General features: G+C 45.8%; 3 long non-coding RNA genes across 8 annotated transcripts in view, besides 3 other annotated features; 1 reads left to right on the top strand and 2 right to left on the bottom strand.

Moving 5' to 3' along the window:
* LINC01128 (long intergenic non-protein coding RNA 1128) overlaps nucleotides 1-4,641 on the bottom strand; it is a 31,856-nt gene extending 27,215 nt beyond the window's left edge. For 5 of the 6 annotated variants that reach the window (NR_047519.1, NR_047521.1, NR_047523.1 and 2 more), the window contains exons 1-2: nucleotides 4,457-4,641; nucleotides 3,128-3,229 (exon numbers count right to left, since the gene is read on the bottom strand). This is a non-coding gene — a long non-coding RNA (long intergenic non-protein coding RNA 1128). Of the gene's footprint in view, nucleotides 1-3,127; nucleotides 3,230-4,382; nucleotides 4,435-4,456 lie in introns of those variants that run through there. The other variant, NR_047525.1, reaches the window with a different exon arrangement.
* Nucleotides 4,418-4,647: a silencer, noted in NCBI's record as "silent region_1". NCBI's record gives its function as "represses an Ori minimal core promoter by ATAC-STARR-seq in GM12878 lymphoblastoid cells {active_cell/tissue: GM12878}" and the evidence as "EXISTENCE:reporter gene assay evidence [ECO:0000049][PMID:35858748]".
* Nucleotides 4,688-5,017: an enhancer, noted in NCBI's record as "active region_3". NCBI's record gives its function as "activates an Ori minimal core promoter by ATAC-STARR-seq in GM12878 lymphoblastoid cells {active_cell/tissue: GM12878}" and the evidence as "EXISTENCE:reporter gene assay evidence [ECO:0000049][PMID:35858748]".
* LINC00115 (long intergenic non-protein coding RNA 115) lies at nucleotides 4,710-6,026 on the top strand. The gene has a single exon (NR_024321.1). It is a non-coding gene; the product is annotated as a long intergenic non-protein coding RNA 115 (long non-coding RNA).
* A 6,371-nt stretch (nucleotides 6,027-12,397) lies between these two features.
* FAM87B (family with sequence similarity 87 member B) lies at nucleotides 12,398-14,861 on the bottom strand. The gene is made up of 2 exons (NR_103536.1): nucleotides 14,030-14,861; nucleotides 12,398-13,509 (listed from the first exon to the last, which is right to left on the bottom strand). It is a non-coding gene; the product is annotated as a family with sequence similarity 87 member B (long non-coding RNA).
* Nucleotides 14,747-14,846: an enhancer, noted in NCBI's record as "active region_2". NCBI's record gives its function as "activates an Ori minimal core promoter by ATAC-STARR-seq in GM12878 lymphoblastoid cells {active_cell/tissue: GM12878}" and the evidence as "EXISTENCE:reporter gene assay evidence [ECO:0000049][PMID:35858748]".

Raw genomic sequence — 16,978 nt, 5'->3', positions numbered from 1 at the left:
TCTTCCGACTTTACAGGATGCTTGTCGTTTTGGAACCACTTTACCTACCCCGAGGGAGAAAAGCAGCTAAAACCAACAACGGAGGCATTTTATTCTTGAAGACACTGAGAAAGGTGGCGAAGGCCTGGCTGTGGAGAGAAGAAACAAGGGGCGCCCTCTCCTCCCTCTTCTGTTTCTCTCCACACTGTGGCTCCCACTAAAACACATTTAAAGCCAGTTCTTGAAGGGTTTTCTCCATAACTGATGTGTCAGTTTTGTCTGACAATTCATTTTTCAAATAATCATCCATTTGGGAAGTGCTTTTTTGTAAAATTCACATTCTAAGAGAAATTTTAAAAAACTAAATCCTCTAAAACACGGATATATCTACAAGAAGACAGCACCACAAGACGCTATCAGGTCCCATGACTCAGCCCTAGATAAGCTCTTCGAAATAAGAGGGAGCTCATCTGTCCAACATCTCATCAGTTTCATTAACAACTCCCAATCCAAGCCTGTCAATTAATGATAAACCGTTGTTTATGTAATGAAACACACAGATTTTTCTGACTTACCGCTTCTACATAGATTCATCGTGTTTATTTATGACTTCTTCAAGAAAGACAGAGATTGAGTGAGGTATTGCAGTCACTGCTGCAGAAATAATCAGTATTTAGCATTTGGACGGCACTTTCCTTGACAAACACCTCACTACCCGTCACTTAATTTAAATTTATCACTAAAGTGCCAGCGGCTTTCAGAAGCTAGCCATTGCCCTGCCCCCAAGTCTGTCATCACACTTCACTGTCAGAGAGAAGCCTCTGAAAATGGAAAGATCCCGGTATGGCCCCCTGTAGGATGGAGCTCAGGTGCTCTGGTTTCTAGGCCCCATCACCATTGCTGAAGCAGGGAGTTACAACTTAAAATCTAATTTAGAATTACATTCACTATGAAGAACCGAATTATTTTAATTACTGAGCTGATAGCCTGCTTGTGACCTGCAATGACTGAAGGACATTTTTAAACATAAGACAAAGCAGAAAAGTCATAGGCATGTCCACGTGTACCCTAGGAAAGAGAAACTCCTCCTCCAATGAATAAATGTAAGTGAATAGAAATAAAGTTGCTTTCTAATTACATCCCACAGACCCAGCCTGCAAGAGAGAGGTCCAAAACCAGTTGCCACTCACCATATAAAGAGCCAACCCAGGGAGGGAGCACATGTGTCCCTGACCTCTGTCCCAGGCTGGAGAACGGACTGTCCCCTCTGGGAAAACCTGACCAGACCAAGAGAAAATGCTGACGGATACAGACAGCTGAGAGCTGCCAAGGGAGACTGCGTGGCCCGGTCACCCCACAGCAGCCCCATGTGAACAGATGGTCAGGAGTCAACAGGAGGATGCACCATGAAGGACAGAGATCAAAACGGGAAAAGGAAAACAGACCAAAGACAGGTGGAGAGCAGGAAGGAATTCCAGTAACTGTAAATACTGTCTTCAGAGAGAAAAGATACGTCACCACTAAAGAACTGGAAGTCATGAAAAATGAACAGTTAAAAAAAGAGGATCTGGGAACTTAAACTCTGAAACAATTTTTAAATTCCATAAAACTTGTACTAGATAAAGTTGGTAAACCTCACAGAAAGTAAATCAACAACAAAAAGAGATCTAAAAGGTGAAAAATAGGAGAAAAAAGTATAAGAAAATTGGAGAAGTGGTCTGGAATGTTCAACACCAGAAATAATGTGTTCAAGGAAGAGACAAGATAAAAGACTGAGAAGAAAAAATTATCAATCAAAGAATTCCAGAAAATGTCTTAGTGTTTTACTCCATTTGTACTGCTCCAACAAAATACAGGAGACTGAGTACTTTATAAAAAACAGAAATTTATCTCTCACAGTTCTGGAGGCTGGGAGTCCAAGATAAAGCACCAGTGGGCTCAGTGTCTGGCAAGGGTTGGGACTCTGCTTCCCAGATGGTACCTTGTGGCTGGGCCCTCACGCGGCAGGAGGTGAAAAGGTAAAAAGGCAAACCCAGGCCCTCAGCCCTTCCTTAAGGGCACTGATCCCACTGTGAAGGCTCTGCCCTTGTGACTTAGCCACGTCCTTCAGGCCCCACCTCTCAATACTATCACCTTGGCCATTAAGTGTGAACATATGAATTTGAAGGTACACTTTCAGACCACAGCATTCAGAACGCAACACAGGTTTCCAAATGAAAAGAGCTAGCACAGAGATAAAAACGAACCTACATCATATTGTCCTGCAATTTCAGAAAGCCAAAAATGAAGAAAAGACCCTGAATGCTTCAAGATAATAAAGAAAAAAGAAGTGTATCGCTTGAGGATGGGGGACGAGATTGCGATTGAGCTTCTCTAGAACAACATAGGAGGCAAGCGGAAAATGAAACAGTGTTTTCAAAATTCAGAGAGAGCTTTAAATCCAAAATATATTCTATAACCAGAGAAACTGTTAGTCAAGTAAAATGTGAAGAGAAATCCTTATTTCCTATACACTCATTCTCCTGGAGGAATTAAACAAACAAACAAAAAAGTGTGATCCAGGAAACAGCACTGCAGTGCAGGTGAGAGGTGAAAAGAGTGTTCGGGATTAAGGTGAAGACGGAGCTCAGATGCTGCACACCTGTACTGCATGCCCATATAATACACCTACACAGCACACCTGCACAATATACCTGCATACCACCCCTATACAGCACACCTGTACAATACACCTGCATGGCACACCTACATAATATACCCCCACAATACACTTTCACAGCACACATGCATAATACACCTGCATAGAACACCAGCACAGTACACCCACACAGCACACCACTCAGCATTCTTAGTTTAAAAATAAGTTTTACTTTAAAGGTAATAGTACACACATAAATTGATGTTAAAATCGACAGTAACAAAGAGAAGTAACAATACTAATAGCCTGTCACAAACTGATTCTTAATAACCTATATAAACAAACATTAAGCCCGGGCGCCGGGTGGCTCATGCCTGTTATCCCAGCACTTTGGGAAGCCGAGGCAGGCAGATCACTTGAGGCCAGGAGTTCCAGACCAGCCTGACCAACATGGTGAAGCCCAGTCTCTACCAAAAATACAAAAAATTAGCCGGGTATATTGGCACGCACCTGTAATCCCAGCTACTTGGGAGGCTGAGGCAGGAGAATCCTTGAACCCAGGAAGCAGAGGTCGCAGTGAGCCGAGATCATGCCATTGTGACAGGAGAGAAACTGTTTCAAAAAAAAATTATATGTTTACAACAGGTGCATTCCTCCTCTTGCTTTCTGAGGACGCCCTGCTATGTAGCTGAGTAGTTGCTAATAAACTATCTTAACTTCACTATACTCTGTGACTTGCCAAAAGGTCTTTCCCATGTGAAATCCAAAAACCTGTTCTTGGGGTCTAGGACAAGACCCATTTTATAATGACAAAACTATACAAATTCTAGAGGAAAACATGGAAAGAAAGCTATGTGACCTTGGGTTTGGCCATGAGTTTTAACACGACACTATCAGAGGCATTTGAACCCCTCCTCTATATGAACTCCAGGGTGGTTTATGTTCCACTGGCTAAGAGAAAGTTTTCTTCAAAAATGTGACATGATTTGAGGTCAAACATTAATATCAAGTAAACTCAAAAGATTGAGAAGCTAGCATTAGTTCTGGGAAAACCAGAAGTGTGCCTTTTTTTGGAAATAATCATTGGTAGCACAAACTTAAGAATCTCCAAAGGAAATAAAAATGAGTTATTAACTTACAGTTTTCACCAATTAAGATATAAATGAAGCTAATGAAATCCGGAAATACAATTTCACTGTTTTTAATGTTCATTTAAAAAAAAAAATCCTTATCAAATAGCCCCAGTAAGTCACCAATTAAGTCTTTACTACTTAAAAGCAAAATCCACCTATGTCCTGAACACTATCCACTTTACAAGCCTCATTATATGTACTGGAGACAAAATTCAGAAATAAATAAATATATATGTACATATATACAAATATATTTCAAATTAAAAAATACTTTTAGAGAGTGGTATGTATTACATTTAGAAATTAATAACGAAGTAAATTATGGGATGTCATCCACGCCTGTCCCAAAGGTACCGAATTTATAAATCATCTCAGGTGCGGAGCAGGACAGGTTGAAAATAGGAATGACATGAACCCGCGCGGAACAGCTGCCGGCGCGGTGTCCAGGGCGGCACCCCGCCCGGTCCCGGCCCCTCCAGCCCTGGGCCCGACCCCTACTACGCCTCTGCCTCGACGCGAACGCGGAGCCCGAGCGCGCGTCACGCCGTGTGGGGCCGAAGAGGCTGCTACCCAGAGGCGGAGTGCGGGCTCGCGAGGGTCCCCACCCGACTCTCGCTCCCGCCAGCACCTACGGACTCGCGTCCCCGCCGCGCGCCGACTCGGGAGCAGCACCGCCCCCGGCACAGGAGCCTCACGCGCCTCTTACCTAACAGGAAGTTGGGTGGAAGCAGCGCGGACCCACGGCGCACCGAACGCACTCCAACAGAACCCGACGCAGACACGCGCTTTCAACCGGCGGAGACACTGGCAGGGCCAGAAACGCGCGCAGCGGGGGCGGGAGGTCGGTAAGCTCCCCGCCCCTGCCCGAGACCCCGCCCCGGCCCGGCCCGGCCCCGCCTTTTTCTCTGCCTCCCCTCCCTGCACGTACGCGCCCCGCCCCTCGCGCGACGTTTTTTGTTGACCCGGAAACGGATTATCCGGAGCCAAGGTCCGCTCGGGTGAGTGCCCTCCGCTTTTTGTGGCCAAACCCAGCCACGCAGTCCCCTCCCTGCGGCGTCCTCCACACCCGGGGTCTGCTGGTCTCCGCGGATGTCACAGGCTCGGCAACCGCCCTCCTGTCGGCGGGGAGTCCCGCGACGCCCGGAAATGCTCCGAAGCCTGTCGCTCAGCTGCCAGATCTGCGTCTGTGTCCGGTTCCGTCACTGAGGTCGCCCCTGTCCGGCCCTTCCACCCTAGTTCTCTTCACCGTCCGCCCATCCTATCGCGCGCGGCCTCAGGTCCCCATTCGGCATGTGGCTTGTCTTCCATCGTCCCCACCCTCGCCCCTCTTGGCCCCTCAGGGCAGCCCTGGGATTCGGCAGACGCCAGTCCTCCCTGAGATGCTTCCCCGTCCTTCCCTCCGCCAGGCCCTACGTCTCCGCAAACCCCACGCTTCGGGGTGGCCGCCTCAGACAGGACCCTGAGTCCGAGACTGGGGTAGGGGACCTGCCCGATCCTGTAACAACCCTCGTGCTTCTGCACAATCGCCTCCCACTAGCGGTGACTGTTGGGTGTCTACCTTCCCGGTGTCCCACTGAGAAGCGGGCTCCTCCTTGGCAGGGGCTTCTTCATTGCCTCGCTGTGGATGTCGAGGTGGGGCAGGAGAGTGAGGAGAAAACAGAGAGGAGGGAGGTAGAGCCAACGAGCGAGAAAAGGGGAGGGAAGTTTAGATGGGAAGTGGATGGGTCTGAGGAATTTGAACAAACACCGACAGTGAAGGAGAGTGACCTGAGCAAGCAGTAGTGGGGTAAATGGAAATAGACAAAATGGGAATCAGCAGAGATATGGAGGACAGAATACAATGAGGAGGCCTTGACCGTCAGTAGCAGAGAGGGCAGCAGAAGCCTAATTCCCAAATTCCTTAGTGGTTTTCTGATTTCCAAATTAGTTTCCCTTTTAAATTTATTGTGTCAGGTTCAGCTTATGAGGCCTCAATACTTTTCAGTCTTAATTGTATATTGAAAATACTTTTTGTTTACTAAATGCTTTTTACATTAATTCAGTGTGCACTCCGTAAGGATATTGATGATTTGAGTTAGTTTAGTATTCAACAGCTTCCTCTATTCCTTTGTATGATCTCTGTATTTAATGGCTGTGGCATAAAGTTTCCAACTAAGTATAAGTATCAAGTTTTCTTTGTGATGTTTTCTGCAAATATTGAAGGATGACCTGGATTGTCCTAGAACTTTGTTCCAACAGATTACATGTGTTCATAACGAATAAATTGCTCAAAGATATTTCCAAAGCTCACCTTTTATGTTTTTCAGTTCCAATAATTACATCTTTTTAAGGTTTATATTTTTTGATGACTTAATGTGATGTTCTGGAGAAGACAAATGCTTTTAATCAATATGATTAAAACCGTGAAAGACAAATCGCTGTTACTTAAGAGTGTGACATATGATCTGAAGTCTTTAGGGGGCAGGGATGTTAAGGGAAAACTGCCGCTATCGTATCAAGGTCATGCCATTCCTGTGAAGCTGGTGCTGGTTACTCTCTACTGGCTTCTGTTCACCTTTCCACCGGCCCCAAGACACACACATACTGACACAAGGCAGTGGATAGGGAAAGAGCAAGACTTTATAAAGTAAGCACAGAACAAAGGTATCTTTCTAATGAGGAGGAGGTGTTGGTTCTGGGAAGGAAGCTTGGTTTTTGGGTATTCAGGATCCAGAAGTGAGAGAGCCTGGGAAGTTCAGGAACCAGAGAAAGAAAAAGACTTGCCCATTCTCACCCATGACCCTGTGCTCAGCAGGTACTAGCAGAGACTTCAGGCTCTGTGACTAAAAGGGGTCAGACCAGTTGATATACCCACAGCTGCCATGTAAGGATGTGTGTGGACTTCACTAGGGAAGAACGGTGTTATGAAAGAAGGGGCAGAAAAACTCACCTGTTGGTCTCCATGTAGACGTTTATTGTCCTGAATTCCTGGAGGTTCAGTGAAAAGCAGAAGATTGTCTTTTACACATGTTGAGTTATGCCCCCATATATGTGGTTGTGGTAAAGAAAGAGGATGTGTTGATGAGAGGTCCTGAAATGCATTTTCCTAATACTCAGCAGGGGCTTCTCAAGAAGGATCTTCCCTAAGAAAGAAGCTCAGAGAACAAAAATGGAAAAGGATTAGATATGGCACTTTCACTGGAAAAAGTCATGTTATTCATTGATTGTTTTGTCATCTCCCTCCTTAAGTGTTGTTTTTAGGATGTGGTAATCTCTGACCCTGCCTAACACATTTCCCAACTCACCCATAGCCTTCCCTTAACGTCCTCCCATCTTCACACTATCACACTGTGACCCAGTGAATTCGAACTTGTGAAGTTCCATTCGGGGGATCATATGGGAAGGGCTTCACACCCAGACATAGATTATAGATGGGAAGTGGGCCACATGGTGTCAGTGAGGCAAGTATGGATCGTTTAGGGACAATGCACTGTCAGATCTTTGTTGACCATGATTAGAGAAACTGTGCATATTAGTAGTGAATTAATGTCAGGAATACCTGACAAATCCTGGAAAAGAAGATTGATGAGAGGAAATGTGTTCTGCCCAACTGTATAATGCATTTGAAGCTTAAAACAATGAATCAGTATTGATCTGGTCACAAATTATTAATGATTTGAATTAAAAAGAAAAGTTTAGAAAATGATAGCTTTGACAAATTAAGGTAGCATTTCATCCACACGATGGAGTGTGTTTTATTCAGTAATTGATTTAAAAATGGAATCAACCTAAGTGTCTAACAGGAGGGAGTTTTATAAATTGTTCACAGAGCATCTGTTCCAAGGAGACCTTGATGTTCATAGATTTGTAAAGAATGCTGCTTACTAGCACACTGACTCCTCTGCAAATGTCTGAGGGTTCCTCCACTTGGGGCAAGTTGGGGGTTTGATCGCAGAGTAAATAAATGGTGCATTTTATAATGTAATATATTCTAGCAAGATGCAGCCCACAAACTGTATAGATACTCTTATGTACCACGTAAAGTACATCTACTACTTTAACCAGAACTTGATACTGTATGTATGTTTTTTTTTAGATTTGGATAAAATGACAACTCATTGTTATTTCCAGTTCACAAAGTAATTGTGAGGCTGAATAAATTTTATTATTTTATAGACATATATGTAAAATGAATTTTTCTATGAAACTCATTTTTGATGTATATTAGATGCTATTTTATATTCTGTAGTTTAAATATATGTACGCACACACAAACACACACTTCGGTGTCTTATTATGTTTCTGCAGTGAAACCAAAATCCTTCCTTCACGCCCTTTGATTTTATGTTTTCCTCAGGAAGGCAGGAGCTATTGTATATGATAAAATATTATGTTTTATTCAGTCCACTTATGAAATTGTTTAACATTGTTATAAATATTTATATAACTTATTTTAAATTTCCAAATAACATAGGTTACATGAAATTTGACAACTTTATTTTTTTCTTTTCACAACTATTTTGACTGTATACTCACCAAAAATCAAAATTTAGACAAAATTGACTTTTAGACTAATTCTCATTTTTTACATGTAAAAGACCACATGGGACTTTTAAGTCTAGGTTGCCCTGAGTCTACAGTCACTGAGGTTTTATGTCACTATGTCCTCCATTCTAATAATATGATTTTCAGGCTTTATTCATGTCATTTTTATATCCTCATTGAGTTTTAAAATTTATTTACATGGGTCTACAAATTTATTTCAAATCGTAGTCATAATATTTGGCTGTTGTAAATAGACACTGATTTTGTGTGTTTGCTTTTTTTAAGGACTAATGTTGCTGGACAGGCAGGTATTAGAGACAGGGTGGATCTGCTGGACAGGCAGGTAGTATAGACAGGGTGGATCTGCTGGCCAGCCAGGTAGTATAGATAGCGTGGATCTACTGGCCAGGCAGGTAGTGTAGACAGGGTGGATCTGCTGGGCAGGCAGGTAGTGTAGACAGGGTGGACCTGCTGGACAAGCAGGCAGTGTAGACAGAGTGGATCTGCCGGCCAGGCAGGTAGTGTAGATAGCATGGATCTACTGGCCAGGCAGGTAGTGTAGACAGGGTGGATCTGTTGGGTAGGCAGGTAGTGTAGACAGGATGGATCTGCTGGACAGGCAGGTAGTATAGACAGAGTGGATCTGCTGGACAGGCCGGTAGTATAGACAGGGCGGATGTGCTGGCCAGGCAGGTAGTATAGAAAGGGCGGGTCTGCTGGACAGGCAGGTAGTGTAGACAGGGTGGATCTGCTGGGCAGGCAGGTAGTGTAGACAAGGTGGACCTGCAGGATAGGCAGGTAGTATAGACAGGGTGCATCTGCTCGACAGTTAGGTAGTATAGACAGGGTGGATCTGCTGGACAGGCAGGTAGTGTAGATAGTGTGGATCTACTGGCCAGGTAGGTAGTGTAGACAGGGTGGACCTGCTTGACAGGCAGGTAGTATAGACAGAGTGGATCTGCTGGCCATACAGGTAGAGTAGATAGCGTGAATCTACTGGCCAGGCAGGTAGTATGGACAGGGTGGATCTGCTGGGCAGGCAGGTAGTGTAGACAGGGTGGATCTGCTGGCCAGGCAGGTAGTACAGACAGGGCGGATCTGCTGGGCAGGCAGGTAGTGTAGATAGGGTGGACCTGCTGGGCAAGCAGGTAGTGTAGACAGGGTGGATCTGCTCGCCAGGCAGGTAGTGTAGATAGCGTGGATCTGCTGGCCAGGCAGTTAGTATAGACAGGGTGGATCTGCTGAGCAGGCAGGTAGTGTAGACAGGGTAGATCTGCTGGATAGGCAGGTAGTATAGACAGGGTGGATCTGCTGGACAGGCAGGTAGTGTAGATAGGGTGGACATGCTGGACAGGCAGCTAGTGTAGACAGGGTGGATCTGCTGGACAAGCAGGTAGTGTAGACATGGCGCATCTTCTGGGCAGGCAGGTAGTGTAGACAGGGTGGATCTGCTGGCCAGTCAGGTAGTATAGACAGGGTGGATCTGCTGGCCAGGCAGGTAGTATAGACAGGGTGGATCTGCTGGCCAGGGAGGTAGTATAGACAGGGTGGGTCTACTGGACAGGGAGGTAGTATAGACAGCGTGGATCTGCTAGCCAGGCAGGTAGTGTAGATAGCGTGCATTACTGGCAAGGAAGGTAGTGTAGACAGGGTGGATCTTCTGGCCAGGCAGGTAGTGTAGACAGGGTGGATCTACTCGGCAGGGAGGTAGTGTAGACAGGGTGGACCTGCTGGATGGGCAGGTAGTATAGACAGGGTGGATCTGCTAGACAGGCAGGTAGTATAGACAGGGTGGATCTGCTGGATAGGCAGGTAGTGTAGACAGGGTGGATCTGCTGGACAGCCAGGTAGTGTAGACAGAGTGGATTTGCTGGACAGGCAGGTAGTGTAGACAGGGTGGACCTGCTGGACAAGCAGGTAGAGTAGACAGGGTGGATCTGCTCGCTAGGTAGGTAGTGAAGACAGGGTGGATCTGCTGGGCAGGTAGGTAGTGTAGACAGGGTAGATATGCTGGATAGGCAGGTAGTATAGACAGGGTGGATCTTCTGGAGAGGCAGGTAGTGTAGACAGGGTGGACCTGCTGGACAAGCATGTAGTGTAGACAGGGTGGATCTGGTAAGTCAGGTAGTGTAGATAGCGTGGATCTGCTGGCCAGGCAGGTAGAGTAGAGAGGGTCAATCTGCCGGACAGGAAGGTAGTAAAGAGAGGGTGGATCAGTTGGATAGGCAGGTAGTGGAGATAGCATGGATCTACTGGCCAGGCAGGTAGTGTAGACAGCTTGGATCTGCTGGCAGGCACGTAGTGTAGACAGGGTGGACCTGCTGGACAAGCAGTTAGTGTAGACTGGGTGAATCTGCTGGCCAGGGAGGTAGTGTAGATACCGTGGATCTACTGGCCAGGCAGGTAGTGTAGACAGTGTGGATCTTCTGGGCAAGCAGGTAGTGTAGACAGCGTGGACCTGCTGGATAGGCAGGTAGTATAGACAGGGTGGATTGGCTCGAAAGGCAGGTAGTATAGACAGGGTGGCTCTGCTGGACAGGAAGGGAATGTAGATAGCGTGGATCTACTGGCCAGGCAAGTAGTATAGACAGGGTGGATCTGCTGGGCAGGCAGTTAGTGTAGACAGAGTGGATCTGCTGGACAGGCAAGTAGTGTAGACAGTGTGGATCTGCTGGACAGGCAGGTAGTGTAGATAGCGTGGATCTGCTGGCCAGGTACGGAGTATAGACAGGGTGGATCTGCTGGACAGGCAGGTAGTGTAGACAGGGCAGATCTGCTCGACAAGCAGGTAGTGTAGACAGGGCGGATCAGCTGGGCACGCAGGTAGTGTAGACAGGGTGGACCTGCTGGACAGGCAGGTAGTATAGACAGGGTGGATCTGCTCGACAGGCAGGTAGTATAGACAGGTTGGATCTGCTGGACAGGAAGGTAGTGTAGATAGCGTGGATCTACTGGCCAGCCAGGTAGTGTAGACAGGGTGGATCTGCTTTGCAGGCAGGTAGTGTAGACAGGGTGGACCTGCTGGACAAGCAGGTAGTGTAGACAGGGTGGATCTGCTGGCCAGGCAGGCAGTGTAGACATGGTGGACCTGCTGGACAAGCAGGTAGTGAAGACAGGATGCATCTACTGGCCAGGCAGGTAGTATAGACAGGGTGGATCTGCTGGGGAGGCTGGTAGTGTAGACAGGGTAGTTCTGCTGTATAGGCAGGTAATATAGACAGGGTGGATCTTTTGGACAGGCAGGTAGTGTAGACAGGGTGGATCTGCTGGACAGTCAGGTAGTGTAGATAGGGTGCACCTGCTGGACAGGCAGGTAGTGTAGACAGTGTGGACCTGCTGGACAAGCAGGTAGTGTTGACAGGGTGGATCTGCTGGCCAGGCAGGTAGTGTAGATAGCGTGGATCTACTGGCCAGGCAGGTAGTGTAGACAGGGCGGATCTGCTGGGCTGGGAGGTAGTGTAGACAGGGCGGATATGCTGGCCAGGCAGGTAGTGTAGATAGGGTGGATATACTGACCAGGCAGGTAGTGTAGACAGGGCGGGTCTGCTGGACAGGCAGGTAGTGTAGACAGGGTGGATCTGCTGGAGCGGCAGGTAGTATAGACAGGGCGGATCTGCTGGCCAGGCAGGTAGTGTAGACAGGGTGGATCTGCTGGACAGGCAGGTAGTATAGACAGGGTGGTTCTGCTGGACAGGCAGGTAGTATAGACAGGGTGGTTCTGCTGGACAAGCAGGTATTGTAGATAGGGCAGATCTACTGGAAAAGCAGGTAGTGTAGACAGGGTGGATATGCTGGCCAGGCAGGTAGTGTAGACGGGGTGGATCTGCTGGAAAAGCAGGTAGTGTAGACAGTGTGGATCTGCTGGAAAAGCAGGTAGTGTAGACAGTGTTGATCTGCTGGACAGGCAGGTAGTGTAGACAGGGTGGATCTGCTGGAAAAGCAGGTAGTGTAGATAGGGTGGATCTGCTGGCCACGCAGGTAGTCTAGACAGGGTGGATCTCCTGGAAAAGCAGGTAGTATAGACAGGGTGGATCTGCTCGACAGAGGGAGGTGTCACACCCCAGGTGGGGCTGAGTGGGACGGCATGAGACTTCATCAAGCTACTCAGAATGAAACATGATTTAACACGTGTGTATTGTTTATTTCTGGAATTTTTCATTTAATGTTTTTGGACCATGACTGACTGAGAGTAACTGAAACCTTAGAAGGCAAAACAGTGGATAAGAGTGACTTGCCGACCTGAACAGTTTGCTCTTAGAAACTTTGTGTGGTTGGTTGTCTGATCTGTGACTTCCTTTAATTCACTTCTCTGAGTTCCTTAAAGGTAGGAATCATGTTTTATTCCTCTCACAGCCATATTTCCTTAAAAACTAGTTGGTGAACCGTGGAAAATCTAGATTGCTCAGGCCGCCTTCTGCCAACAGAAATAACGTTGCCTTTCAGCGGTGGTTTGCTTTTCTGAAATTTTCGGTCATCACACCCTTTAGAAGGAACAACTTTAGAGAATAAGACTGGCCGGTATGCAACTCCCAGAATTTTCTCAGGAATGTTTCAAAAATCTATTGTTATTCTGGATACTGGTGAACAGATGCGCGAACGGCTCAGGCTCTGCCACTGGCCTTCTCCATGACTGTGTTTGTAGGGACAAAGCATGGTAGCAAACAACTTCAAAAAACCTCTGTGGCTTGAAAACACAAAGTTTAATCACTTGTCCATGCTTCTCTTCCACTGCAGGCTGGGGGTAGCTCCTGTATCCTCAGGCCCAGGTGAGATAATTTTCCCATCCTGAGCACTGCCAGGCTCATGGCAGAGGGGAGGGTGCAGGAACGTTGTGCGGCTTTTAAAGTTTCTGCCAATAAGGGGCAGAGTCACTTCCATTCCGTTCCATTGGCTGGGCCTGACCACGGGACAAGTAGCAGAACCTTTCCATCCAGGAGAAACAGAGAGTGTCTGGAGGAAGAATACACACTGTCCCCAACTCCCAGAGTTAATGCTGTGAATTCATCAACAGGATGATACACTTGCCTCACTGGCTTTTTGTTCCAATAGACAGAATCATAGAGTCTTGTTGTGCTGAGAGCCTTGTAGGTCACGCAGTCCAGGGATGCAAAATTAGAAGACAATGACGAGGTGCAAACCTGAGAGTGGAGGCGAATGGAGTCCGGAGGGCGGGGACTGCAGGCCGAGCACACACCCCACCGGGGAGCAGCCATCTCAGCTGCAGCCGACGTTGCCCTAGAGAGATGAATGCAGGCCCAATGTTGGCAGCTATTCCAATGTGAAAGAAACTAAAAATCCAGACTTTTATGTAACAATATTCTAATATTTACAACATTAATCAGCTGGGGGAAAAAGTGTCCACAGAACTTTTGCAGCCTGTGAGCCACCCATTTCTACCCAAATTCAGCCCAAACCTCTAACTGCACAAGCTCACACAAATAGAGAAAGCCAGGAAAAGTATCCAGAACTCCACATGCACTTCACTACTCACAGGGGCCTCCAGCCCTGGTAAGCATGGGAACCACACATGTAAACACTGAGGTGCCCTGCCACGCCAGTGAAGTGCATGCTGCTCGTGTGTGACCCATTTTTAACCCCTAAAGGCATAAAACACGAATACTGTGAATTCAGTTAATAAGTTGAATTTACACCAGTCCTTCCTGATACAGCCGAATCAGATCTTTCCCATTATTCACTCCTCAGTATATCACCCCTTCTGTTGAACAGAAATAAGTAAATATTTAAAATTTCTTACCCAGGGGTCAGCAGATTATGATCCAGAGGCCAAGCCCAGCCCGTCTGCTTTTGTGTATAAAGTTCTCATGGAACAGAGCTGTGAGCCTGCCGTGTGTGGTCTACGGCTGCCCCTGGACACAGCTGCAGAGCTGATTCCCGCACAGACCTCGGGGCCCACAGAGGGAGGCGCCTTCCCGCCATCATCCCCACTGAGCACCAGCCGCCGCAGCCGCTAAAACCTGCGGAACTCACTCCATGCCCCTTGTTGGCTTTCTTCACATAAAGTGGATAAAACTGGGTGTTTACAGCCTAAAGCAGCCCATGCCAAGGCAGTCCTCAGGGACTGAGCCTTAGTCACAGTCCTTGTGACTACAGCACGTCCATAGATGAGAGCTGGCCGAGGGATCCGTGTGCCTCCAGCTTCTCGGAGCTGGAAAGAATCCATACTGGAAAAGTGTTCCTTCAGTGCTCCTCCTTCTGGGAAAAAAAGACGGGGAGCTACATCAACCTTAAGGGTTAATGTTGCTTGAATGTAAGCATAATAAATATTCAGCATGTCTCCTAAGACCTGGAGTATCATCAGAGACCAAGCTTGGAAAACCACAAAGAATGACGCCCAGTTTCTAAGAGTCATTCCGTGCTTTACAATCAGCCCACAACCACCGAGTCCCAGGAAGCCCAGCCGAGACCGCGGCAGGTCCTGACGCAGCATCAGCCTGAGTCTGAGCCCAGAGGAAGCTTCTGCTGCCACAATTGCTGCGTGTGCTCATGGCTTGGGTGCAGGCCCAACCACAGCGGACCAAGGGCAGGCTGAGATTTGGCCTGGACTGGAGGGCTGTCTCAAGGAGGGTGACGTGTCTTTGACTTTTGCATTCTTCCCTTTTCCTTTCTATTCTCTTGGTGACGTGAACACAGACAGAAAGTGAACGTTTTTTGCATAAGTTCCCTGTAGATTCTGGATATTAGGCCTTTGTCAGATGCATAGTTTGCAAATAGTTTCTCTCATTCAGTAGGTTGTCTGTATTCTCTGTCAAACGTTTCTCTTGCTGTGCAGAAGCTCTTTCATTTAGTTAAATTCTACTTGCCAATTTTGTTTTGTTGCAATCGTTTTTGGGAACTTAGCCAAAAATTCTTTGCCAAGGCCAACGTCAAGAAGAGTATTTCCTAGGTTATCTTCCAGGATCTTACAGTTTGAGGTCTTACATTGAAATCTTTAATATATTTTGAGTTAATTTTTGTATATGGTGAAAGGTAGGGGTCTGGCTTCAGTCTTCTGTATGTGGCTAGCCAGTTATTCCAACACCATATATTGAATAGTATGGTCTTTTTCCACTGCTGCTTTTGCTGGCCTTGTCAAAGATTGGATGGTTGTAGGTGTGTGGCTTTATTTCTGAGTTTTCTGTTCTGTTCATTGGTCTATGAGTCTGTTTTTGTACCAGTACAGAAGCTGTTTTGGTTACTGGGGCTGTATAGTATAGTTTGAAGTTGAGTAGTGTGATGCCTCTGGCTTTGTTCTTTTTGCTTAGGATTGCTTTGGCTATTTGGGCTCTCTTTTCATTCCATATGAATTTTAGGATAGTTTCTTCTTGTTCTTAAATGCATTTTATAATTAACTTGTTTAGCTCTAAGAAAAAAACTTGATTTTGTATTGGAATAGCATTAAATTTAATATTTTTAAAAAATGTTTCATCTACTTCTAACTTACTGCAAAGAGTTTTATAAAGTTGCCTGTAATGATTTTTTAATGTTTTTCTTCATTTTTATAAAGGAAACATCCTTGTAACCACACCCAGGTCAAGGAATAGAACTTTATCAATCATCCCAGAAGCGCCCACCACATGTCCCATTTCTATTATAACCTACTTCCTCTCCCCAAAAATAACCACTTCCCAAACTCTTATGGTAATCATTTCCCTAATCTTTATAGTTTTATCACCAAGTGTATATCCCTAGACACTATAGTTTAGTGTTGTTTTATTCTTAAAATTTGATATGTTTTTAAAGTCTCTTTTAATCTACACGTTTTTCTCTCTATCTCTTTCTTTTCCTTATCTTTTACAATGTTTAAATTTTCTTCTGTTAGCACTTGTAACTTTCTTATTTTTTTTTTTTTCTAATCAGATACCTAGTGGTTTGTTTTGGTTGATTATTTTCTCTTGAGAGCCAGCTTTTGGATTTACTTCTTAGTTCTATTCTTTTTCTACTTAATAATATCTGCTTTTATTTGTAATAATTCACCCCTTTCTTTTGGTTCACTTATTCTTTTTCTGGCTTTTTCAGTTATATGTTTAAATAATTTATTTTTATTATTTAAATTTGTATTGATATAGGTATTTAATGCTATAAAGTTTCCTGTGACAGTTACTTTTTTTCTGAGTCCTATAAATTCTCTATATATTTTCCCAGCCTTTTATAGCTGTATATCTTATATGCAGTATGGTGTTTGATTTTGCTTTGTGAGCCAATCCAAGACTGTTTTCCATTTAATAGGTGAGCCAAGTCCATTTTTTACATCACAGATAACAGGGAACCACCTTGTTCTATTTTATTTGCTTTTACCCTTTTGGTATTTAAGAGGGCTTTCTTCCTCTTTTTTTTCCACTTTTATCCTAATGCCTTTATAGCAAACACTTAGTTTCTTTGGTTGGCTCCCCATAGTACCTGATACTGCAGTTAGCTGATGGACACCCCAGTCCCAGTTGGCCCCTGCACATCTTCTGCCCGCCCCTACCACTTCTCTGGTGGTTGTTCTTTGTCTGCATTGTCCAAGCTGGTAACCATGGCATGCTGCACTTTTATCACCGTCATGTGCCAGCAGCTCCACAGATAAATACAGACCACCTGCAGCTCACCTTTGCATCTGCCTCTAGTCATTTTGGTTTCCGGAGCTTATTCTTTAGTGGGTCATCCCTCAGCTCCTGGTCACCGTACTTCCTGTGTTTGTGTGTACTCATAAAAAATATGTGTG

This window comes from Homo sapiens, chromosome 1 (assembly GCF_000001405.40).
Source record: "Homo sapiens chromosome 1, GRCh38.p14 Primary Assembly".
Taxonomy (NCBI): Eukaryota; Metazoa; Chordata; class Mammalia; order Primates; family Hominidae; genus Homo; species Homo sapiens.
Note: the sequence above shows the minus strand (reverse complement) of the source record. Positions and strands in the feature narration are given on the sequence as shown.